We start from the raw sequence: 25,042 nt of genomic DNA, 5'->3' as shown, positions 1-25,042 counted from the left end.
TGTTGCCATGGTGACCAGAGCGGTGTTTGTACGGCGGCTGCCGAGGCCCAAACTCCCTCTTCCCGCCTCGCGCCTCCCTCTTCCCGCCTAAGCTTCAACTGTCACCGGCTCTGCGCCGCCGCGGCCCTCGGGGCTTTCTCGCGGGGAGCGAAGGGGAAGAGCGAATCCCGCCGCCGCCCGCCTGGGTCGGATCCTCATCAGATGCCGGACGTTGGAGGAGGCACCGGGTTCTGGGGCGCCACAGGAGGATTGAACCCCCAGGCTACACCCACCACTTGGATGTATCTCCGGCCAAGCCACTGAGCATCTGCAAAAGGGAGAAACGCCTGCCGCTCAGGGATATTGTAAACATCAATGCTACTTTTTATATTTTATTTATATTTATTTATTTATTTATTTATTTATTTATTTATTTATTTTTGAGACGGAGTCTCGCTCTGTCGCCCAGGCTGCAGTGCAGTGGCGCGATCTCGGCTCACTGCAACCTCCGCCTCCCGTGTTCAAGTGATTCACCTGCCTCAGCCTCCCGAGTAGCTGGGATTACAGGCGCGCACTACCACACCCGGCTAATTTTTGTATTTTTAGTAGAGACAGGGTTTCGCAATGTTGACCAGGCTGGTCTCGAACTCCTGACCTCAAGTGATGCGCCCGCCTCAGCTTCCCAAAGTGCTGGGATTATAGGCGTGAGCCACCGCGCCGGGCCCGGTTCTTTTTTACTGATTTATTTATTAATTGATTTATTTATTTTTTGGAGACAGATTTTCGCTCATCTCCCAGGCTGGAGTGCAATGGTGTGATCTTGGCTCACTACAACCTATGTCTCCTGGGTTCAAGCGATTCTCCCGCCTCAGCCTCCCGAGTAGCTGAGATTACAGGCGACTGCCACCACGCACACCTAATTTTTGTATTTTTAGTAGAGACGGGGTTTCACCATGTTGGCCAGGCTGGTCTCGAACTCCTAACCTCAGGCAATCCCGCCCGCCTTGGCCTCCCAAAGTGCTAGGATTACTGGCATGAGCCACTGTGCCCAGCCTTTTTTTCTGAATTTTTAGAGATGTGGTCTTGCTATGTTGTTAAGGCTGGTCTTGAACTCCTGGGCTCAAGCAGTCCTCCAGCCTCAGCCTCCCAGGTAGCTGGGATTACAGGCATAAGCCACCTTCAGTAGGATCTGCTGAAGCTTCCTGAACCAGTGTGTAGGGTCTCACATTTCCACAGCTTTGCAGTTGCTGATCCCTCTGCCTGGAACACCCTCTGTCTTCCCCTCAAACCTCTTCCTCATCCCTCAAGCACGTCCTCAGTTTTGCCTCTGTGAGGTCTCCCTGCCAACCTCAGGCAGAGGTGGCTGCTTTGGACTGTGAATTCCCACAGCATCCTACAGATACTGTTGTTCTCGCACTTCTCACAAGATACTTGAATTCCTCACTTCCATGTCTGGCTCCACAATTAGACTGCAAGTGTCTGGGGCCTGGTCTGAGTCATCTCCGTATCCTGAGCTCTAGTACTTGGCCTAGCCCTGGGAGCCTTGGTGAATACTCACTGATTCTTTTTCTTTCTTTCTTTCTTTTTTCTTTTCTTTTCTTTTTTTTTTTTTTTTTTGAAACGGAGTTTTGCTCTTGTCGCCCAGGCTGGAGTGCAATGGTGTGATCTCAGCTCACTGCAACCTCCGCCCTGGATTCAAGCAATTCTCCTGCCTCAGCTTCCAGAGTAGCTGGAAGTGCCACCATGCCCAGCTAATTTTGTATTTTTAGTAGAGACGGGGTTTGTCCATGTTGGTCAGGCTGGTCTCGAACTCCCGACCTTAGGTGTTCTGCCCGCCTTGGCCTCCCAAAGTGCTGGGATTACAGGTGTGAGCCACTGCGCCTGGCCTGTTTTTTTCTTTTAATAAAGTAGACATGGGGTCTCACTATGTTGGCCAGGCTAGTCTCCAACTCCTGCCTCAAATGATCCTCCCACCTCGGCCTCCCAGGTTGCTGGTATTACAGGCCAGAGCCACTGCACTCAGCCAATACTCACTGATTCTATGAATGAATTGAAACCAAACACCATCCACGAATGAAGCATTGTTTTCCACACGTCCTAATTTCCTTGGCTTTCAAGGCACTCAGACCTCCCCGTTTCATTCCTAACCTTTTTAGATCACACACACACAGACACTTGCACACACCCACACATGCACGCTCACACAAGCACCCCTCTCTATGGAGGCCTCCGACTTCCTAAACGATGGCTGAATCCTGGCATTTTCCCCTAAAAACAATGCCACCATATACCTATTTTTGTCCATGTTCTCCACCCCAACATACCTCACCACAGCTGCTGCTCCTGGGGTTTCCTACACCATGAGGCAGCCACGGAAACTGCCAGGGGCTGTGTCCCTGGATCCAAATCTTCCCTCCCACTGTCAACCATACTGAGGTGGTCTCAGCCACCCTCTTGGCCACCCCTGGCCCTCTCAGAGGGCGTTTCAAGCCCAGAAAACAGAAGTCTAGCTGTTGCTAATGTCACCATTATTGATCCTAAAGAAGATTGTCTTCTTAGGCTGTCTTCCGGTTTTTGTTTTTGTTTTTGTTTTTTTTGAGACAGAGTCTCACTCGGTAGCCCAGGCTGGAGTGCAATGGCACAATCATGGCTCACCACAACAGCCTCGACCTCCTGGCTCAAGGGATCCTTCCACCTCAGTCTCCCAAGTAGCTGAGACTACAGGTGCATGCTACGACACCCAGCTAATTTTTAAAATTTTTTGTATAGACGGGGTCTCACTGTATTGCTCAGGCTGTTTTTGAACTCCTGGGCTCAGGCGATCCTCCTGCCTCAGCCTCTCGAATTGCTGGGATTACAAGCGTGAACCACTGTGCCCGGCCTTGGGCGGTCTTATTGTCTGATGGAATCCTGAGGACCAAGTTGAGGCCAGTTCTCACCTCAGCCCTACAAAAGGCCTCCAGGAACACATATTCTGCATATTCTGCCAACAGAGAGACTTCAGCCTTGGCAAGGCCCCTGGACACGTCCGTGGCCTGCAGTGCCCAGACTCGCTGGTGCTGGTGTTTTGTTCCTACCATGGGCTCATACATTATGCAGGAGCACGGGCAGTGCCCCAGGCTTGTGTGTTGCCAGGCAAGCCAAGACAAGGGATGATGTATGCACCCCACTTTGCCAAGGCCCCATTTCTTTTCTTTCTCTTTTTTTTTTTTTTTGAGATGGAGTCTTGCTCTGTTGCCCACGCTAGAGTGCAGTGGTGCGATCTCAGCGCACTGCAACCTCTGCCTCCCAAGTTGAGTGATTCTCCTATCTCAGCCTCCCAAATAGCTGGGATTACAGACGCATGCCACCATGCCCGGCTAATTTTTGTATTTTTAGTAGAGACAGGGTTTCACCATGTTGGCCAGGCTAGTCTTAAACTCCTGACCTTGTGATTTGTCCACGTCGGCCTCCCAAAGTGCTGGGTTACAGATGTGAGCTACTGCGCCTGGCTGTGCCGAGGCCCCACTTCTATCCACATCACAACATTTGCTGGGGGCAGAGAAAAACTGACTTCACAATAGCCAGCTAACCGCAAAGTCTCCTCTCCCGAAGTTGGAAGCTGGAGATGTCAGATGTATCATATGTAGTTCCGCACTTCCCCTAGGAAAGGGCAGACAGGATTGTATACTTCCAATAATCGTGGGGTGGGTGGGAGATCAGAGATGCAGAGTTCCCAGAAGATGAAAGAAGCTTCAGCAGGCTTGGACGTGGGAAGGGACCTGGCAGTTCTGATTCTGATCTAATACTTTCAGCTGCCTCCAATGGACATCCAACGATATCATCTCCCAGAGATTAAGAAGAGGTTCACCAGCCTCCTTAGTATAAAATGAAAGGCTTGTGTTTAGGTAATTACCCTGGGGGAATAAAGAAGCAGTGCTGAGCTAGAGCTGGTGTCAACAGAGGCCTCTCCACAGACTTTATCTTACTTAATCCTTACAGGAGGCACGAGTGGCAGAAACAATTACTTCCATCTTATAGGTTGGAAATAATAATGGCCCAGTTGGAAACAAAACGAAAAAAACCTTTAGGCCAGTGCAGTGGCTCACGCCTGTAATCCCAGCACTTTGGGAGGCCAAGGCAGGCGGACCACCTGAGGTCAGGAGTTTGAGATCAGCTTGGCTAGCATGGCAAAACCCCATCTCTACTAAAAATACAAAAATTAGCTGGGCATGGTGGCAGGTGCCTATAATCCAAGCTACTTGGGAGGCTGAGACAGGAGAATTGCTGGAACCCATGAGGTGAAGGTTGCAGTGAGCCAAGATCGCACCACTGCACTCCAGCCTGGGTGACAGACAGAGACTCCGCCCCCAAAAAGAAAAAAAAATAGCTGGGCGTGGTGGTGCATGCCTGTAATCTCAGCTACTCGGGAGGCTGAGGCAGGAGAATCACTTGAACTGGGGAGGCAGAGGGCAGAGGTTGCAGTGAGTTGAGATCATGTCACTGAACTCCAGCCTGGGCGAGAAAAAAAAAAAGCCTTTAGAACCAGGAAAGATCTGGATTTGAATTCTAGTTCTGCCACAGTATATCTGTGCAACCCTGGACAAGTCAATTGACCTCACTGAGCCTCAGTTGTACTCATGTGGAAAGTGGGGATAACCCTCAGGGACTGGCAGGGCTTTCTGTGATTATTTGAGAAAATGTATGCAAGGCACATGGCATAGAATGAAGGCTCATTAAAATATATAGCCAGGTGCAGTGGTTCATGCCTGCAATCCCCCAGCACTTTGGGAAGCTGAGGTGAAAGGATCGGTTGAGCCCAGGAGTTCAAGACCAGCCTCAGAAACATAGTGAACTCCATCTCTACAAAAAAAAAAGAAAAATTAGACATGCATGTTTTCTAATTTTCATGTGTATTTATGGTCCAACTACTTGGGAAGCTGAGGTGGAAGAATCTCTTGAGCCCAGGAGTTTTTTTGTTTGTTGTTGTTGGTGGTGGTTTTTTTTTTTTCTTTTGGAGGCGAAGTTTCACTCTTGTTGCCCAGGCTGGAGTGCAGTTGTGCGATCTTGACTCACTGCAACCTCTGCCTTCTGGGTTCAAGCGATTCTTCTGCCTCAGTCTCCTAAGTAGCTGGGATTACAGGCACCCGCCACCACGCCCAGCTAATTTTTGTATATTTAGTAGAGACAGGGTTTCACCATGTTGACCAGGCTGGTCTTGAACTTCTGACCTCAGGTAATTCACCCGCCTTGGCCTCCCAAAGGGCTGGGATTACAGGCGTGAGCCACCACGCCAGGGCTGAGCCCAGGAGTTTGAGACTACAGTGAGCTATGATTACACCACTCCACTCCAGCATGGGCAACAGAGTGAGACACTATCTCAAAAAAAAAAAAAATTATAGGCCACGTACAGTGGCTCACACCTGTAATCCCTGCATTTTGGGAGGCTGAGGCGGGTGGATCACCTGAGGTCAGGAGTTTGAGACCAGCCTGGCCAACATGATGAATACCCAGTCTCTACAAAAAATACAAAAATTAGGCTGGGTGTGGTGGCTCTCACCTGTAATCCCAGCACTGCGGGAGGCCGAGGCAGGCGGATCACTTGAGGTCAGGAGTTCGTGACCAGCCTGGCCAACATGGTAAAACCCTGTCTCTACTAAAAATACAAAAATTAGCCGAGCATGGCGGCACGTGCCTGTAATCCCAGATACTCAGGAAGCTGAGGCAGGAGAATTGCTTGAACCTGGGAGGCAGAGGTTGCAGTGAGCTGAGATTGCACCACTGGACTCCAGCCTGGGTGACAGAGGAAGACTCCATCTCAAAAAAAGAAAAAAACCCAAAACCAAAAAGCAAAAATTAGCCAGGCACGGTGGCACATGCTTGTAGCCCCAGCTACTCAGGAGGCTGAGGTGGGAAGATTGCTTGACCGCTGGGGGCAGAGGTTGCAATGAGCCGAGATTGCGCTAGATAGATAGATAGATAGATAGATAGACAGACAGACAGACAGACAGACAGACAGACAGATGACACAACAGGCAGGGCATGGTGGCTCATGCCTGTAATTCTAGCTACTTAGGAGGCTGAAGAGGGAGGATCAGTTGAGCCCAGGAGTTCAAGGCTACAGGGAGCCATGATCATGCCACTGCACTCCAGCCTGGACGACAGATCGAGATCTCATCTCTAAATATATACATTTTGAATGACTATTAATGAATATCACAATGCGTATGTGTATAGCAACTGTGCTTTACACAGATCTCATTTAATCACCCCAGCAGCCCCAGGTAGAGGTGCTGCTGTTTCATTGATGAGGAGCCCAAGGCTCAGAGGAGTTGAATCCCTTGCACAAGGATGCCAGGCTAGTGACTGGCAGAAGCAGGACTTAGGCCTGGCAATGGGACTTGGTGTGTGCTCAGTGGAGGCTCAGAGAGGTTGTGAAATTTGGCCAAGGTCACACAGCCAGTCTATGTGAGAAGAAAGGGATTGGACCCTTAGCTGTCTGACTCCAATCACCTGCTGTGCCCTCAGCTTTTTCTGGTGTGCAGATAGAGGGTGGGACTGGCATTGCTTGGGACAGTCCCTAACCTGGGACAGGTAAGTAAAAATACTAAATAATAAATGCTCTGGCACGCCAGCCAGGACTTGCCCCAGAGCCCAGGCGGGGGGAATCGGACCCTTCCCTGGGTATCATGTGGGAAACAGGCCACTTCTGGCCACTTATTGTTTACTTATTCACAGCCTTTGATGATATCACACTTGCACACCTCCGCAGGGCACCCGGTGGAGAGGATGAGTGAAACAGCCTGTGGGCGGCAGAACCTGGAAGAACAGAGAACGGTAAACTCAAGGCCAAGGGTAAATTGGGTGGCGGGTCTCTAAGGACTGCCTGGGGGTGAAACTCACCTGGGGAGACAGGCTAGGGGAAGGAAAGATGGTGGCCAAAGTCACAGAGGCTTGGATGGGCCCTCCTATACCCCTGCCCTGCACTGCCCCTCCACACGTGGTGGACTGCCTAATGCTCTATGTTTTGTTTGTTTTTGTTTTGTTTTTGAGACAGGGTCTCCCTCTGTCACCCAGGTTGGAGTGCAGTGGCGCGATCATGGCTCACTGTGGCCTCCACCTCCCTAGCTCAAGCGATCCTCTCACCTCAGCCTCCTAAGTAGCTGGGACTACAGGCACACAGCACCACGCCCAGCTAATTTTTTTGACTTTTTGTAGAGAGGAGGTCTCACTGTGTTGCCCAGCCTGGCCCCATGCTTTCTGGCTGCACACCCAGGCCAGGACAGGCTGGTGTGTCTCCCTTCCTCTGCTGGGATGTCCTGAACACCCATTGACCACCCGACAAGGGTTCAGAGTATGTGGTGCATCCCATCTTGGGTTTATTTTAGGTGGTATGTCAGCAAGAAGACACACACACACACAAACACACACCACACACACAAACACACACAACACACACACACACAAACACACACCAAACACATCAACACACACACCATACACACACCACATAAACACACATACCACACACAAATACACACACACACCACACAAACACACACACCACTCACCACACACATACCACATACACCACACACACACCACATACACCACACACACACACCACACATACCACACACACCACACACACACACCATACACACCACACAAACACACATACCACACACACAAATACACACACACCACACATGCACCACACACACACCACACACACTACACAAACACACCACACACCACACACACCATACCCACGCACACCACACACACAAACCACACACACACACACCACACACACAAACACACACAAACACCACACACACACCCCATACACCCACCCCACACACACCCCACCACACACACACCACACACATCACACACACACCACACACACACCCTGAACAAGCTACTCTCTTTCTCTTTCCAATTCCCTTTCAACGCTTCTGATTACTGCAGGAGAAACTCTCAATTTGCTGCCAGAAACCCTTTAACACCTTTCTCTCTGTGCTTATCTTTTTGTTCTTTTTTTTTTTTTTTTTTTTTTTTTTTGAGATGGAGTCTTGCTTTGTCGCCCAGGCTGGAGTACAGTGACACGATCTTGGCTCACTGAAATCTCCACCTCCTGGGTTCAAGCAATTCTTCTGCCTCAACCTCCTGACTAGCTGGGATTACAGGTGCATGCCACCACGCCCGGCTAATTTTTATATTTTTAGTAGAGATGGGGTTACACCATATTGGCCAGGGGCTGGTCTCGAACCCTTGACCTTAGTTAATCCGCACCCCCCCGCCGCCCGCCGGCCTCCAAAGTGCTGGGATTACAGGCTTGAGCCACTGCGCCCGGCCTGATCTTTCTTTTTTGAACAAGGAGAGAGCCAGCCTCCAGTTCAGAATGAGCAGCTGCCCATAGTATCTAGCTAGAATGTTATAAAATGTGTTTTCATTTTGTATATTTTTTGTTACCTTCTGTTTATCACAGGTGGTACTGGTTTTCTATTTTCCAGAGTGATAAAAAGTTTCCTTTTAAAGTACATGGTAGCCACAGTGGCTTACTTCTGTAATCCCAGCACATTGGGAGGCCAAGGCAGGCAGATCGCCTGAGGTCAGGAGTTTGAGACCAGCCTGGGCAACAGGTTGAAACCCTGTCTCTACTAAAAAAAATACAAACAATTAGCCGAGTGTGGTGGCAGGCACCTGTAATCCCAGCTACTCGGGAGGCTGAGGCAGGAGAATAGCTTAAACCCAGGAGGCGGAGGTTGCAGTGAGCCGAGATCGCACCATTGCCCTCCAGCCTGGGCAACAAGAGCGAAACTTCATCTCAAATGAAAGAAAATAAAGTACATGGTTAGTTTAGCACTGTGGCTCATGCCTGTAATCCCAGCACTCTGGGAGGTGTGAGGCAGGCAGATCACTTGAAGTCGGGAGTTTGAGACCAGCCTGGGCAACATGGTGAAACCCCATCTCTACTAAAAATACAAAAATTAGCCAAGTGTGATGGCACACACTTGTAATCCCAGCTACTCCAGAGGCTGAGGCAGGAGAATCGCTTGAACCTGGGAGGCGGAGGTTGCAGTGAGCTGAGATCGCACCACTGCACTTTAGCTTGGGAGACAGAGTTAAAAAAAAAAAAAAAAGGACATGGTTAGCTCATGCTAACCATGGTGGTTCACACCTATAATCCCAGCACTTTGTGAGGCCGAGGCAGGAGGATCGGGCGTATTGCTGGAGCTCAGGAGTTTGAGACCAGCATGAGCAACATGGCGAAACCCTGTCTCTACCAAAAATACAAAAAATTAGCCGTGCATGGTGGTGGCTTGCCTATGGTCCCAGCTACTCAGGAGGCTGAGGCAGGAGGATCACTTGAGCCTGGCAAATGGAGGTTGCAGGAAGCTGAGATGGCACCACTGCATTCCAGCCTGGGCAACAGAGTGAGAACCCCATCTCAAAAAATAATACATGGTGAAAAACAAAACAAAACGCACAACCTGTGCTCTGAAAATCAGATTACTTGGTTCAAATCCCCGCTTGTGCCACTTTCTACCTGCATGACCTTGAGCAAGCCACACAACCTCTCTGTGCCTCAATTTCCTCATCCGAACAGTGACTGAGAGTATGTCTCACCTGACACGTGATTTGTGCCTATAATCCCAGCACTTCGGGAGGCCAAGGTAGGAGAATGCTTGAGGCCAGGAGTTTGAGACCAACCTGGGCAACAAATCGAGACCCCCATCTGTAGGAAAAACTTAAAAAATAAGCTGGTAGTGATGAGCCTGAGAGCCTGTAGTCCCAGCCACTTGGGAGGCTGAGGCAGGAGGATCCCCTGAGCACAGGAATTTGAGGTTACAGTGAGCTAATCGTACCAGTGTACTTCATCAAGGGAGACAAAATGAGAGACCCCGTCTCAAAAATCAAAACAAAACAAAAACCCCAGTATGTCTGTCTTAAGATTATTGTGGATATTATGTTAGTTAATATATATAAAGGGCTTAGATTGCTGCCGGATGTCTAGTAAATGCTCTATAAATGTTTGCTTTTTTTTTCTTTTGGAGACGGAGTTTTACTCTGTCACCAGGCTGGAGTGCAGTGGTCTGATCTCGGCTCACTGCAGCCTCTGCCTTTCAGTTTCAAGCAATTCTCCTGCCTCAGCTTCCTGAGTAGCTGGGATTACAGGCGTGTGCCACCACGCCTGGCTAATTTTTTTTGTATTTTTAGTAGAAATGGGCTTTCACCATGTTGGTCAGGCTGGTCTCAAACTCCTGACCTCATGATCCACCCACCTCGGCCTCCCAAAGCATTGCGATTACAGGTGTGAGCCACTGTGCCTGGCCTAATGTTTGCTCTTATTAGGTCAAATAGAGAAAAACAACAACAACAATAACAACAACAAAAAACACCCATAACTGACCATAACTGAGGTTTTTTTTTGTGGGGAAACAAAGGTTTGGAGAAGCTAGAGGCTGAGTTAGGATATTGGTAAGTTTCTGGATTCCCAGTCTAATTGCCAGCCATTTCAATCTTCAATAATTAATATAACCTCTCAGCTTCCACTTAATCACTTGCAAAATGGAACTAATCCTATCTCATTGGATGTTGGGATTGATGTGTATAAAGGCGGATCAGAGGCAGGGCACGGTGGCTCATGCCTGTAATCCCAACACTTTGGGAGGCCAAAGCGGGTGGATCACTTGAGGTCAGGAGTTTGAGACCAGCCTGGCCAACATGGTGAAACCCCGTCTCTACTAAAAATACAAAAATTAGCTGGGTGTGGTGGTGGGCGCCTTGGGAGACTGAGGCAGGAGAATCGCTTGAACCCAGCGGGGGCAGATTGCAGTGAGACAAGATCGTGCCACTGCACTCCAGCCTGTGCAAAAGAGTAAAACTCCATCTGAAAAAAATAAAATAAAATAAAATAAATAAGTAAATAAATAAATAAAGGCGGCTCAGAAAATGAGCATTAGGACAATGATGCCTTCTCAACTGGTATAATATCGCCCCCAAGGGGGCAAAAAACTTACTCTTTTTAATATGGAAAAGATATATGTAAATAGACATAAATATATCTGTGTTATTAAACTTTCGTGATAGGCAGCGATTAGAAAAAAAAGTGTAAAAAGGGCTCCTTAGGGGAACAATAATGAAAGAAAAATTGAGAAACACTGCTCTCCAAACCAAGATTTTTCCCGCTTGGCTTGTTTAGCCACTAGTGGGCAGTGAAATTGGCTTAATGGGTCATGATCAATATTTGGTGGAAAAATGGTCTAGAAAATTCCACAGGGCACTGCATATAGTAAGTCAGAATGTGTTGTGCAAAGGTTTTCCATTCAACGTGTGGGTGCATGAACTGCAGTCACAAAATAAAAGATATCTCGGCTGGGCGCCATGGCTCACCTCTGTAATCCCAACACTTTTTTTTTTTTTTTTTTGAGACAGAGTCCCACTCTGTGGCCCAAGCTGGAGTGCAGTGGCGTGATCTCGGCTCACTGCAAGCTCTGTCTCCCAGGTTCATGCCATTCTCCTGCCTCAGCCTCCCAAGTAGCTGGGACTACAGGCACCCACCACCATGCCCAGCTAATTTTTTGTATTTTACAAAAATTACAGGCGTGTGTAATCCCAACACTTTGGTAGGCCAAGGCGGGCAGCTCACTTGAGGTCAGGAGTTCAGACCAGCCTGGCCAATATGGTGTCTCTACTAAGAATACAAAAATTAGCCAGGCGTGGTAGCATGCACCTGTAATCCCAGCTACTTGGGAGGCTGAGGTAGGAGAATCATTTACGCAGGAGGTGGAGGTTGTAGTGAGCTGAGATTGTGCCACTGCACTCCAGCCTGGACAACAGAGTGGGACTCTGTCTCAAAAAAACAAAACAAACAAACAAAAAATAAATACATAAAGAAATAAAATAAAAGATATCTCTTGTGGGTCACTATTAAAAAAATTTAAAGCCATTGCTCAAAACCACAATTTTCTCCTCTCATATTTTCTCTCTCAGACAAGCCTGTGCAGCCTTGGACTGTTTTGCTCTCAACAAGAAGAAATCGACAAGGAAAGGAAGAAATGTAGGAGAGAGTCCAGATTCCAGTGAGACTCGGGCCTGACTCTAACCAGCTCATGGCCTGTAAACTTTCCTCCCTTCCACATTTTCTTGTCTAGGGTAAGCACAGGTGCAGAGGAAAATGACCATCCCTGGTCACACTCAGTGGCTCACGCCTGTAATCCCAGAATTCTGGGAGGCTGAAGCAGGAGGATCGCTTGAGCCCAGGAGTTGAAGACCAGCCTGGGCAACATAGCAAGATCCCATCTCTAGAAAAAAAAACCTCCCCAGATTAGCCAGGTGTGGTGGTGCACGCCTGTCATCCCAGCTACTCAGGAGGCTGAGGTGGAAGGATCACTTGAGCCCGGGAGGTGGAGGCTGCAGTGAGCTGTGATTGTGTCACTGCACTCCAGCCTGGGTGACAGAGTGAGACTCTGTCTCAAATTTAAAAAAAAAGAAAAAGAAAATAACTGCAGAGGGGTGCTACTCCTCCTCACTCCTTCTGCCTCTCCTACTCTCATCCCTTCTCTTCCCCTTTTTCCCTCTCCCACCTTCTCTCCTCCCCTCATGCCTTCCCCTCTCTTCGCCTCCTTTTCTCCAGACTTGGAAGGCAGCGGTCACATTTACCGATTTTGTCATGTACTGTATGGTCTGAAGCATGTCATTCAACTTTTCTGAGACTCAGATTTCTCAGCAGTAAAATGAGGAAGTTATTTGTAAGGTGGCATAGATGATTAAACGGGAACATGTATATAAAGTATTTCAGCCTGGTGCCTGGCATACAGTGGGTGCTCAGAATGACAGTAACTGGCTACTGGCTACCGTGTGAAGTATTGTAGTTTCTATGCATTGGCATGATTTAGTCCTCACAATGAGCTATGCAGGAGCTGGGCAAATAGCAGGGCAGGCTGCCTGGTTTCAGACCCCAGCTCAGGATCTTTTCATATATATATATATATATATATATTTTTTTTTTTTTTTGAGACAAAGTCTTGCTGTGTTGCCCAGATTGGAGTGCAGTGGCACCATCTCGGATCACTGCAACCTCCGCCTCCTGGGTTCAAGCAATTCTCCTGCCTCAGCCTCCTGAGTGATTGAGATTACGGATGTGCACCACCATACCTGGCTAATTTTTGTATTTTCAGTAGGGATGGGGTTTCGCCATGTTGGCCAGGCTGGTCTCGAACTCCTGACCTCAGGTGATCCACCCCCTTCTGCCTCCCAAAGTGCTGGGATCACAGGCGTGAGCCACCATGCCTGGCCGCTCTTGGTTTAACTTTTAATTTTCAGAGTCCCATCCAGAGGGAAGAAAATAAAGTAGCTAAAGAAGCAAACACTGGCCGAGCATGGTGGCTCATGCCTGTAATCCCAGCACTTTAGGAGGCCAAGGCAAGGGGATTGCTTGAGGCCAGGAGTTCAAGACCAGCCTGAGCAACATAGCAAGACCCCATCTCTATAAAAAGTACAAAGATTCCTTTCCATAGAACATAGCTAAAAATTTTTTTTTAAATACAAAAATTAGCTGAGTGTTGTGTGCACACCTGTAGTCCCAGCTACTCTGGAGGCTGAGGCAGAGGCTAAGGAGGATTGCTTGAGTCCAGAAGTTTGAGTCTGCAATGAGGTAGGATCATGCCATTGCATTCCAGTCTGGACAACAGAGTGAGACCCTGTCTCAAAAGAATATGAGGAAGAAGCCGGGCGCAGTGGCTCACACCTGTAATCCCAGCACTTTGGGAGGCTGAGGTGAGCAGACCACCTGAGATCAGGAGTTCGAGACCAGCCTGACCAACAGGGAGAAACCCCATATCTACTAAAAATACAAAATTAGCCAGGCGTGGTGGCGCATGGCTGTAATCCCAGCTACTCGGGAGGCTAAGGCAGGAGAATCGCTTGAATCTGGGAGGCGACGTTTGCGGTAAGCTGAGATTGCGCTATTGCGCTCCAGCCTGGATACCTGGATAACAAGAGCGAACCTCCATCTAAAAAAAAAAAAAAAAAAAAAAAAAAAAAAGAGAGGAAGGAGGAGGAGAAGGATAAGTTCTGAAAATATGAATGAGGATGTCTAAATTGTATTCAGTGGTGTTTTTTCCCTCCTTTTTAAAAAAGCCTTTCAGTTCCTTAGGAAAATAAGTTTATGTTTTCTATATCTGCCTAACATTATAGGGACAAATAAATTCAGAAAATATGATTTTAAAAAATTTTTATTCACTTCCTGACTGTTTAACCTTGGACAAGTTACCAAACCTCTCTGTGCCTCTGTTTTCTGATCTGTAAAACAGAGGTGCAGTAATAATCCCTACCCACAAGGTTGCTTTGGATAAATGACTTGATATTTTTAATTAAATTTTTTTTTTTTTGAGACAGAGTCTCGCTCTGTCGCCCAGGCTGAAGTGCAGTGGCGTGATCTCGGCTTCTCAGCTCACTGCAACCTCCGCCTCCCAGGTTCAAGCGATTCTCCTGCCTCAGCCTCCCAAGTAGCTGGGATTACAGGCACATGCCACCATGCCCAGCTAATTTTTGTATTTTTAGTAGAGATGGGGTTTCACCATGTTGGTCAGGCTGGTCTTGAACTCCTGACCTTGTGATCTGCCCGCCTTGGCCTCCCAAAGTGCTGGGATTACAGGCGTGAGCCACTGCGCCCAGCCCTTAATTGATTTTTTTAGAGACGGAGTCGCACTCTGTGGCCCAAGGCTGGAGTGCAGTCTCGTGATCAAAGCTCACTGCAGCCTCAACCTCCTGTCCTCAAGTGATCCTCTTGCCTTGGCCTCCCAAAGTGCTGGTACTACAGGTGTGCACCACCACACTTGGCCTTTTTTTTTTCTTTTAGAGTCAGAGAATGCAGATCAATGTCTGACCTGTAGTCTAAGCAGCATTTAATGATGTGACACTAATTATTAACCCAACCTCACAGATGAAGAAATTGAGGCCCATAAAGGCTTTGCCCACCATCATTCAGAGAAAGGAAGAGCCTAAATTTAGAATTTTAAAAACTGCAGCTTCACTTAAGGGGCACACATTTTAAGAGGATGCCTCGAGAATGTTTACATATGTATACACTGGTGATCAATATAAGGCCATTTCCAACACTTCAGAAGGTTCCCTGGGGTCTCCTCCCAGTCAATACCTTCCCCAAGTTAAACGCTGTTCAGATTTTTCATGATAGATGTTTTGCTTTTCTGAATTTGATGTAAACAGAGCCATACAGTGTGTTTCTTTATTTGTTTCTTTATTTCAGCAATAGGGAAGTGAAATGTTTCTTTGATTATCTGTGGACTCTGAATTTGAAGTCCATGTACACCCACAGTAGAAATGGCCTTCTTTACCTTTTATCCTACACCGCCTTTTAAATCAATAATTACTTAGGACTACTTTTTTGGGGGGGCAGGGTCTTACTCTGTTGCCCAGGATGGAGTGCAGTGGTATGATCATAGCTCACTACAGCCTTGAACTCCTGGGATCAAGCAATTCTTTCCATTCTTTCGCCTCATCCTTCCAAGTACCTGGGACCACAGGTATATGTCATTGCACTGGACTATTTTATTCTTCTTCTTCTTCTTTTTTTTTTTTTTTTTGAAACACAGTCTCGCTCTGTCGCCCAGGCTGGAGTGCAGTGGTGCCATCTCGGCTCACTGCAAGCTCCGCCTCCCAGGTTCACGCCATTCTCCTGCCTCAGCCTCCGGAGTAGCTGGGACTACAGGCGCCCGCCAACGCGCCTGGCTAAATTTTTTGTATTTTTAATAGAGACAGGGTTTCACCGTGTTAGCCAGGATGGTCTCGATCTCCTGACCCCGTGATCTGCCCGCCTCGGCCTCCCAAAGTGCTGGGATTACAGGCGGGAGCCACCGTGCCCGGCCTATTATTCTAATTTTTTGTAGAGACAGGGGTTCCACTATGTTGCCCAAACTGGTCTTGAACTCCTGGCCTCAAGTGATCCTCCCACCTCGGTCTCTGAGGTGCGGGGATTCCAGCCTGAACCACTGCACTTGCTGTTTTTTTTTTATTTTATTATTTATTTATTTATTTATTTATTTTTTGAGACAGAGTCTCTGTCGCCCAGGCTGGAGTGCAGTGGCGAGATCTCGGCTCATTGCAACCTCTGCCTCCCGGGTTCAAGCGATTCTCCTGCCTCAGCCTCCTGAATAGCTGGGATTACAGGTTCCCACCATCACGCCTGGCTAATTTTTGTATTTTTAGTAGAGACAGGGTTTCCCCATGTTAGCCAGTATGGTCTCGAACTCCTGACCGCAGGTGACCCACTCGCCTCAGCCTCCCAAAGTGCTGGGATTACAGGCGTGAGTCACCACGCCCGGCCCTGCACCTGCTCTTATTTCCCCTCTCCTTTTCTTTCTTTGAGCCCTGTCCCTGAAACATAGCTGTCCATCAAGTCACCAATGGATTCTAATTGGCCAATTCTAGGCAAGGCTTGCTGGAACCGCCCCCCAGCCCCCACAGGAAGCAAATGATAGGGCACATGTATCAACTGGCGGGCCATTAGGAGGATGGCACCTTCTAGCCACTCCACCAATGGAAGAGCATACTCCTGCCCTCCCCAACTGCCTCTACAGAGCAGCCTCGTGCCTTTGCAGTTTGACACCTTCCTTTTATCCCGAGAAGGTCCCTTGGAAGACACTTCAGGAAGGCAGGATGGCAGGACCTGGTTCCCTTCATCCTGCCTGTGCCTGCTCCACACCTCTGCTCCCCAGAGTAGATGGGAGGGGAGGTCTTTCTAAACAAAAATGATATCTATGTAAATATATGTAGTTTCAGGCTTGCACCTGTTATTTCTTTTGTTTTCTTTTTTAATGGAACAACAATCGCTTTGGCTTTATTTTGTTTTTTCAACAAATGTCATTTTAAAGTTCCAAATATCTTGACAACCCCCTCCCTTCCTTTTTCCAAGTTCTGGGTGCTGAGGAGAAACATCAACCTCCCTTTCTGTCTTCCAACCTGTCCCTCTGAGGTGAGGACTGGGGAGAAGGTAGAGGTGACTTAGGGTGGGCGGCGGGCGGGGCATGCAGAAGATGGAAAATGGTGGAGTTTAAGAGTAGGAGGAGCTGGGTGCAGTGGCTCATGCCTGTAATCCCAGCACTTTGGGAGGCCGAAGCGGGCAGATCACTTGAGGTCAGGAATTCGAGACCATCCTGGCCAACACAGTAAAGTCCTGTCTCTACTGAAAATACAAATATTAGCTGGGCATGGTGGCGGGCGCCTGTAATCCCAGCTACTCAGGAGGCTGAAGCAGGAGAATTGCTTGAACCCGGGAGGTGGAGGTTGCAGTGAGCCAAGATCACGCCACCACACTCCAGCCTGGGCAACAAGAGTAAGACTGCATCTCAAAAAAAAAAAAAGAAAAAAGAAAAGAAAAGAAAAGAAAAGAAATTGTCTAAATTGAGTGTTTAAAACAAAAAATTGGGATAATTAGGATGTCGAATTGCCCCGGATGAGGAATATTAAAAGAGTAATAAGGATGCTAGGAGCTTAGAGAAGAGGTTTGCCTGGTGGCTTTCAATGGCCACAGATGGATGGGTCTCTTGGGGCTTGCCTCATTGGGGGTGAAGAAGGCTGCTGGGGGGTCTGAGGGTGTTGTGTTGAGGTGTTCTCATGGCCGTCTTTTTCTGCCTTCTTGGCTGCAGGCAGGCATGACCCTGCTGTTCGCAGTGGGTTGCGTCTTCTTCCCGTTGTGCTTCACTGCCCTGCGCTGGGGCTTGCAGAACCACACCAACCTGCAGATGGAGAGACAAGAGGCTGTCCTGGTAGCATCCAAGTAAGAGGACCAGGGTGAGGGTGTCCTTCCTGGGGCCATGGCTGGTGGAACTGATCTTTTACTTTCAGAATGAGTTTGTGGTGAAAGCAGAAGCAGAGTGTGGAGTGGAGCTGGAATGTGGAGTCAAAAGACACCAGCAGGCTGGGCGTGGTGGCTCACGCCTATAATTCCAGCACTTTGGGAAGCTGAGGCAGGTGGATCACCTGAGGTCAGTAGTTCAAGACCAGCCTGGCCAACATGGTGAAACCCTGTCTGAACTAAAAATACAAAAATTAGCCAGGTATGGTGGCAGGTGCCTGTAATCCCAGCTACTCTGGAGGCTGAGACAGGGGAATCACATGAACTCGGGAGGTGGAGGTTGTGGTGAGCTGAGATGGCGCCACTGCACTCCAGCCTAGGTGACAGAGTGAGACTCTGTCTCAAAAAAAAAAAAAAGAAAAAGAAAAAAAGACACCAACAGTGGGGTCTTTTGTGAGTCATTTAACTTCTCTGAACTTCAGATCCCTCACTGGTAAATGGGCTTAATAATAACACCCCACTTTCCTTTCTTCGTGGAGATGTTGTGTGAGGATCATATGAATCAGCGTCTGTAGAGCAGGGGTTGAAAACTGCTGCAGATAATATGAGGGCTGTGGGCTCTGCAGGGATGATATAGGCTGGAGGACTCACCTTCTCTGCTGAGGGCCAGTGCTGCTCAGCTCCAGCCACTGATAATGTTATATGGTTAGAACGTGGGCCAATATTTTCGGAGTTATGATTCTTTGTCGTTGTTGAGACAGGTTGAGACAGGGTCTTGCTCTGTTGCCTAGGCTGGAGTGCAGTGGCACGATCATGGCTCACTGCAGCCTTGAACTCCTGGGCTCAAGCAATCCTCCTGCCATAGCTGGGACTACAGGCAATGCACCACCAAGCCTGGCTAATTTTTTTTTTTTTTTTTTTTGGTAGAGACAGGGTCTCACTATGTTGCCCAAGCTAGTCTTGAACTCCTGGGCTCACAGGATTGTTCCTTCTCAGCCTCCGAAGTGCTGGGATTACAGGCATGAGCCACTGTACCCGGCCTCTTCTTTTTTTTTGAGACAGAGTCTCACTGTGTCACCCAGGCTGAAGTGCAGTGACACCACCATGATTCACTGCAGCCTTGACCTCCCTGACAAGTGATTCTCCCTGAGAATCGGGCTGACTCCTGAGTTTCTTGGACTACAGGTGTGCACCACCATGCCTGGCTAATTTTTGTACTTTCAGTAGAGGCGGGGTTTCTCCATGTTGCCCAGGCTGGTCTTGAACTCCTGGGCTCAAGTGATCCTCCTGCCTTGGCTTCCTGAGTAGCTGAGACTACAGGTGCATGTCATTGTGGTGGGCTGTCTCCCAATTCTTTTTATTTTTTTGAGATAGAATCTCACTCTGTTGCCCAGGCTGGAGTTCAGTGGCTCAATCTTGGCTCACTGCAACCTTCACCTCCCAAGTTCAAGCAACATTTCTGCCTCAACCTCCCGAGTAGCTGGTATTACAGGTGTGCACCACCACGTCCGGCTAATTTTTGTATTTTTAGTAGAGACGGGGACGGGGTTTCACCATGTTGGCCAGGCTGGTCTCAAACTCCTGATCTCAGGTGATCTGCCCACTTTGGCCTCCTAAAGTGCTAGGATTACAGGCATGAGCCACCACGCCCAACCTCTTCCAATTCTTGAATACTGATAAGTAACTAAGAATTTATTTAAGAACTACTATACTGACAACTGCATACTGGCCAAACAAAACATGTCTGTGGGCCGGATTGGGCCCTTGGGCTGCAGATCTATGACCTGTGTGACAAAGCTTACCATAAAAGTGCAGTATCAGCAAACCACAGGAGGCGTAGGAGGTACACGGAACACAGATTTTACTAGGGTGTCTACGTGGATTCCCTGGCAGACAAAAAAAGCCTGTCTCTACTCATCCAAAGTGAAACCACAGTTCCATGACCAGCCTTGTAGTCCTCAATCGAGTAGTTACGGTGGCCGCCCATCACCCAGCCTCCCCAGCCTCTGTCCTTTTTGCAGTTTTGCTCATGAGTGGCTTTGGGGTTATGCAACTATGGTTTTTTGGTTTTTCTGTTTTCTTTTAAGATGGAGTCTCGCTCTGTCGCCCAGGCTGGAGTGCGATGGCACGATCTCGGCTCACTGCAACCTCCGCCTCCCAGGTTCAAGCAATTCTCCTGCCTCAGCCTCTCAAGTAGCTGGGACTACAGGCGCATGCCACCATGCCCGGCTAATTTTTTGTATTTTTAGAAGAGACGGGGTTTCGCTGTGTTAGCCAGGATGGTCTCGATCTCATGATTCGCCAGCCTTGGCCTCCCAAAGCGCTGGGATTACAGGTGTGAGACACCTTGCCCGGCTGCAACCATGGGTTTGAAACCCAGCTTTCATCCGGGCGTGGTGGCTCCCACCTGTAATATCAGCATGTTGGGAGGCAGAGGTGGGTGGATCGCTTGAGCCCAGGAGTTTGAGACCAGCCTGGCTAACGTGGTGAAACTTCATCTCTACAAAAAATACAAAAATTAGCTGAGCATGGTGGTGTGCGCCTGTAGTCCCAGCTACTGGGGATACTGAGGTATAAGGATCATTTCAGCCCGGGGAGGTTGAGGTTGCAGTGAGCCATGATCGCGCCACTGTACTCCAGCCTGGGGGACAGAATGAGACCCTATCTCAAAAAAAAAAAAAAAAAAAAAACCCCACAAAATTTCTAAACCTGTTTCTTCTGTAAAACAGGGATACCAAGTAAGAACCAGTAGAAATCACCTGGTACTGTGCCCAGCATGTAGTAAAAACTCAGGGAGCTGGATCCCCTTTCCCCCTCCCGTGAAGGGCTGAGGACAGGAGCTAGGTCCGCTATTGTCTCTACAACCGTCTCTAAATCAGCGTGAGACTTCTTGGGTGCTTTCCTACAGATTGCCGCTAGAGGGCAGCACAAAACAGCAAATCCCAGTCCCTGGCCTTTCTTTGGGGGAGGCGAGGAGTGGGCTCTGGCAGAGAAAGGCAAACCATAGGGTTGACTATTGAACTTGGAGACCAAAGGAGTTTGCATAACAGGCCCTTGTCATGCTGAAGTCCACAGGACAGTTGGGAGCAGGATGGGAGGCCAGAAGTCAAAGGGGGCAGTGTCTCTGGCTCAGGTCCCACAGCTCCACCCGGGCCCAGTCCCCAGGCCTCACTTTCCTTATGGGCCAGTGAGGAGCTTGCACCAGCCCACCCCGCAGTCCTTTCCCACTCTGAAACTAGGCTGTATGTGGAAGTTGCAGAGAAAGGGGAGCTAGTAGCATTAAGGAAACTGAGGAAAAAGTGAGGGGTGGGAATTTAGAGAAGGCCAGGAGGGGCTGGCAGTCTGAAGAACAGGGCCTGGGCATCCTAGGGCTCCCTGGGACTTCCTGAGAGGCAGCTGCCCCGCGCTCTCGCCACCGTTTCCCCTTCTTCCACTCCTTGCCCCTCCAACGCCTGCAATGAGAGGGCTGTGCCACTTCTGAACTGGGTGACCTCAGGGAGCCTCAGGATCGTTGATGGCCCTGTGGGAAGGACAGACGCAGTGACCTCGGAGCTCCTGCAGCAGACAGGACATGGGCAGCCCTGCAGCACAGTCAGGTGCCCCCTCTGGCCAATGTCAGCTTCCTTCCCCGCCATCGGGTGAGGGGGCCTCTGGCTCTGAGGATGCTGTGTTGAGATGTTTTTGCTCCTATCCCCTCCTTCAGCTCTTCCTTCTGAGAAAGCACCACTTACTCCCTCTCCCAGGGAACGCTCTCTTCCGCTGGAATGGCCACCCAAAGCTCGGACCCGGGGCAGGCCACAGAGGGATGGCTTGGTGAGGGAGGAGATGCCAGGCATTTGCAAAGTGCTGATGGGAAGCAGGGTCAGGCCCCTGTGGGGGCTCAGGGCCCCCTCCCAGCTGGCCAAGGAGCCCTGGGCCCCCTTCCTCCCCAAGAGAAGAGCTGGCCCCTGTCCCCTGTCCCCAGCAGCCCCCTGTGCCACCGCAGCTGCTGTTCCTTTAAGGGCCTCCCCCTCCCTCTTTCTCTGCTCCCCCCATCTCTGTCGCAGCCGCGGCTGTGGCTCAGAGCTGCATGGGGAGACGCCGCTGCAGGTCCGGTTTCTCGGTGTCTGGTCGGTGCCATCATTTTCCTGCCCCTCCCCCGTCCTCCCCAAGCTGGCCACTTCCCCTCCCCCTCCCCCTCCCCACCGAGGGGGCAGGGGGCTGGGCACGGAGTCTCTATGATGATGCCATGTGCGGTGTCTGTGCCGGGCGGCAGGGACTGGGGCGGCAGCGAGAGGAGGCAGTGGAGCCAGGAGAGCGGTGGTGACCGCTGACCGCTTGCCCGGCTGCTCCTCCGCTCCCTCCCGCCCACCTCCTTCCTTTGGGGCTGGTACTCAGACCCACCCCCACCCCCTCCCCGCCTCCTCGGGCCCTCCCAGCCTCTCACGTAAGCCTCCCCTCCCCACCTGCCTGGTGGCTCCCTCCCCTCCCCCATCCGCATCCTCCTCCTCCTGTCCCCTCTTCCTCTCTGTCCCTCACCAAGCCATCCCCTCTTTGCCTCTCCCCATCCCTCGCTGGCCTGCTCCTGCTCCCCTTCTCCCATCCTCCCCTCCCCCGTCTCTGCCCAGCCAGCCCCCTCCCGACTCCCCAGTTTCATCGGACTCCCTGGCCCCATCCCGTCCCCGCCCTGGCCCCTTTGTGCCCCTTCTCATCGTTTTCTCCCTCCTTCCCGGGCTTGGCGTCCCTTCTCCACCCCTAACTCCTTCCACTCGGCCTCCCTGCCCCTTCACGGCCCGCCTGCCTCCCTGCCCAAGTCCTGAGCCACCATGCTGACCCCGATGGTGGCCGGGGGGGTGGTGTTCCCCGGACTCTTCCTCCTCTCCAAGAACACGCTCCAGCGGCTGCCCCAGCTACGCTGGGAGGAGGCCGACGCAGTCATTGTCTCAGCCAGGTAAACCACTTTCTTTCCCCTCAGCCCCTGTCTGCTTCTTGGGCTTCTCAGGGAATGGAAGGGACCTGGCACTTCTCTGGACCCTCAGCGGTGGGGGACTGGGAGCTCCTGTGGGGGTCCGGGGCTTTACCCCCAGGCTTCCTCTCTCCTCACTGCCTGCCTTGCTCACTGTTCTGGGAGACCTCATCCAGCCCGGCCATCTGGTCTACTAGTGTTCAGCCCGCCTCTCTCTTCTTCCCCGTACACCCTCCCACCCTCCAAAACAGGGCCAGCATGCGGCGAAGACATTCCTATAAGACATTAGGGACTGAGGCCAGGGCCAGACAGCTAGGTGTCATTCAGGGTGAGTGTTTGGGGGCCAGGGATGGAGGAGTGGATGGTACAACTCTACACCCCTAGAACAGGGCCAGAGTGCAGAGTGGAGGCTGGTGGCAGTCAGGAGACAGTGGGAAAGTGACTGGGGAACTCGGGGTCACAAAGGGTCCAGAGTGAGGCCTGCGTCATGACTGGACAGCTAAGCGGGGCAAGAACCGGCCCAGGCTCCCCTCGTGGGGAGAGGTCCAGGCCAGCAGTTCACTCTCAGTCTCACCTCAGGACAGACACCCTGCGGGCTTGAGAAGAGGGAGACTCAGTTTCCACAAATGGGGAAGGAAGAAGGTGGCAAGGAGTGGGGTGGACTGAGGAACAGCAGCCGAGCGGGCCGGAGAGCCGTGAGGTACCTGTGGTGGGGCACACCTCAGGCAGCCCAGCCTTGGGCGAAGGCAGGCAAGGACTGGCCCGAGAAGTGGCTGAACGCAAAGCGCAGTCGTTAGACTAGCAACGAGGAGAAATCAAGGCACACGCCTCTTCCCTTCTGCCTTTCTAGCACGCCTCCCTCTCTCCCCCAGGCTGGTGTCCTCTGTCCAGGCCATCATGGCCTCCACTGCCGGCTACATCGTCTCCACCTCCTGCAAGCACATCATTGATGACCAGTAAGTGCTGCGAGACACCCCCCTGCCCAGGTGCCAGTGGTTGGCGTGTACGGGTAATCCCGGAAGACCCCACATCTTGGAGGGAACTCTGTCTGTGGTCCCCAAGCCCTTAACTTGGGCCTGAGCAAGTTAACTGCAATAACCGCAACTCAACACCCAGGGATAAATTTATCCTGTCCTGTCCTTAAAGGTCAGAACCAGGGGGAGAAGGAGCGGGGATCAGAGAGGATCCTCAAAGCGCTTTCTAGTCGGCTTCCAGGTCTCCCGTGTTGTCGTGGTTCCCCACCTCCTCCCTGCCTTCCACCCCAGGAGGCAGACCCCATTTCCAGCCAGCACCCAGATGGGGTGCCCCCTCCTCATGCCAGGCTCACCCCTCAGCCCTTCCCATAATCCAGGCATCCGGCATCCACTCCATGCCTGAGGGAGAGGACAAGGGAGAGATGACACGCACAAGGCCACACACGGCCAGGCAGTGCGGGAGGGGATGAGGGTGAAGAGGCCAAAATGTGGCCAGGCAGCTGCTGCAGTGTCTGGTGGTTGCCAAAAAGGCCCAGAGGTGTGCAGGCAGGAGGCGGGGGGACGGGGAGGAGAGGGGCCCTGTCCGTGGTGCTGACGGCCGCCCTAGGTGACCCACGGGTGGCCCGTTGCAAGTTGCCTTAGAGGTGCCCACAACGCCCCCTTTGTAGCTTTCAGCACCGCTTCCCTTCTGTGGCAGCCACTGAGTCCCAGGGAACATTTGGACGCCCCTGATGGGGGGTGCCCTGTTTCTGTTTGCCTCCTCTTTTCCCGAAGATGAGTTGCCTCTTCTGTGGTGAGGCAGCGGCCCTTCCTGGAAGGGCTTCAGCGAGAGGAATTGAGTTAAGTGGCAGCTGCAGAGGACAGTTCTTGGCTTAACTCTTTCTTCAGACCCCGCCCAGGGACTTGGCTGCTTCTTGGCCTCTGCCCACCCCTTCCCTCCCCTGCTCCAAGCTGAGCCTGGGATCCAGCACTTCCTCCCCAGCCTTCACATGCAGAGGTCACCGTTTAGCTTCTGTACCCCCTGCTCCCCAGGCCCCCCTGTGTCTGTTCCTGTCCGTCTTCCCTGCTTTAATCCTCAGGTAGGTGGGGAGGATCCGGGTTAATCCAGGGCAGCAGCTGTTCCTACTTCTGAGCACCTAATTGCCAAGAGGGTGGGGATGGGATCTAACACCTCACATGACAGCCCAGGGCCTGGTGGCCCCTCCTGGTCTCCTGCACCAGCCCAGCTGTCCCATCTCCCATCACCTCTGCTGGGCCTGCATTCTGGGCAGCTTCCTGCCCTGACTCCTCCAGGCCACTTGGGACCTCTCTCCCTGTGTTCCCGCTTCGCGTTCTCTA

General features: G+C 50.9%; 1 protein-coding gene across 12 annotated transcripts in view, besides 3 other annotated features; it reads left to right on the top strand.

The window, feature by feature from the left end:
• Positions 78–25,042, top strand: part of TLCD3B (TLC domain containing 3B) — a 28,614-nt gene continuing 3,649 nt past the window's right edge. Inside the window, exons 1-7 of one of the 12 annotated variants that reach the window (XM_017023751.2) lie at positions 78–344; positions 3,774–3,866; positions 6,731–6,795; positions 11,962–12,123; positions 16,904–16,963; positions 17,637–17,767; positions 23,603–23,686. In XM_017023751.2, coding sequence (XP_016879240.1) covers positions 17,643–17,767; positions 23,603–23,686 — 209 coding nt within the window. In that variant the 5' untranslated portion in view covers positions 78–344; positions 3,774–3,866; positions 6,731–6,795; ... (1 more) ...; positions 16,904–16,963; positions 17,637–17,642. Of the gene's footprint in view, positions 345–3,773; positions 3,867–6,105; positions 6,553–6,730; positions 6,796–11,961; positions 12,124–16,587; positions 16,964–17,636; positions 17,768–21,846; positions 22,716–22,981; positions 23,059–23,602; positions 23,687–25,042 lie in introns of those variants that run through there. The other 11 variants (XM_017023752.2, XM_005255613.4, XM_017023750.3 and 8 more) reach the window with 11 other exon arrangements.
• Positions 4,273–4,473: a silencer, noted in NCBI's record as "peak2562 fragment used in MPRA reporter construct". NCBI's record gives its function as "represses an SCP1 promoter by STARR-seq MPRAs in K562 erythroleukemia cells {active_cell/tissue: K562}" and the evidence as "EXISTENCE:reporter gene assay evidence [ECO:0000049][PMID:32103011]".
• Positions 17,878–17,967: a silencer, noted in NCBI's record as "silent region_7348". NCBI's record gives its function as "represses an Ori minimal core promoter by ATAC-STARR-seq in GM12878 lymphoblastoid cells {active_cell/tissue: GM12878}" and the evidence as "EXISTENCE:reporter gene assay evidence [ECO:0000049][PMID:35858748]".
• Positions 23,794–24,638: an enhancer, noted in NCBI's record as "H3K4me1 hESC enhancer chr16:30039801-30040645 (GRCh37/hg19 assembly coordinates)". NCBI's record gives its function as "activates a minimal SCP1, AML or CMV promoter by ChIP-STARR-seq in naive H9 embryonic stem cells {active_cell/tissue: H9 hESC(naive)}" and the evidence as "EXISTENCE:reporter gene assay evidence [ECO:0000049][PMID:30033119]".

Source organism: Homo sapiens, chromosome 16, assembly GCF_000001405.40.
Source record: "Homo sapiens chromosome 16, GRCh38.p14 Primary Assembly".
In the NCBI taxonomy this organism is placed as follows: Eukaryota; Metazoa; Chordata; class Mammalia; order Primates; family Hominidae; genus Homo; species Homo sapiens.
This window is presented reverse-complemented; position numbering and strand designations above follow the sequence as displayed.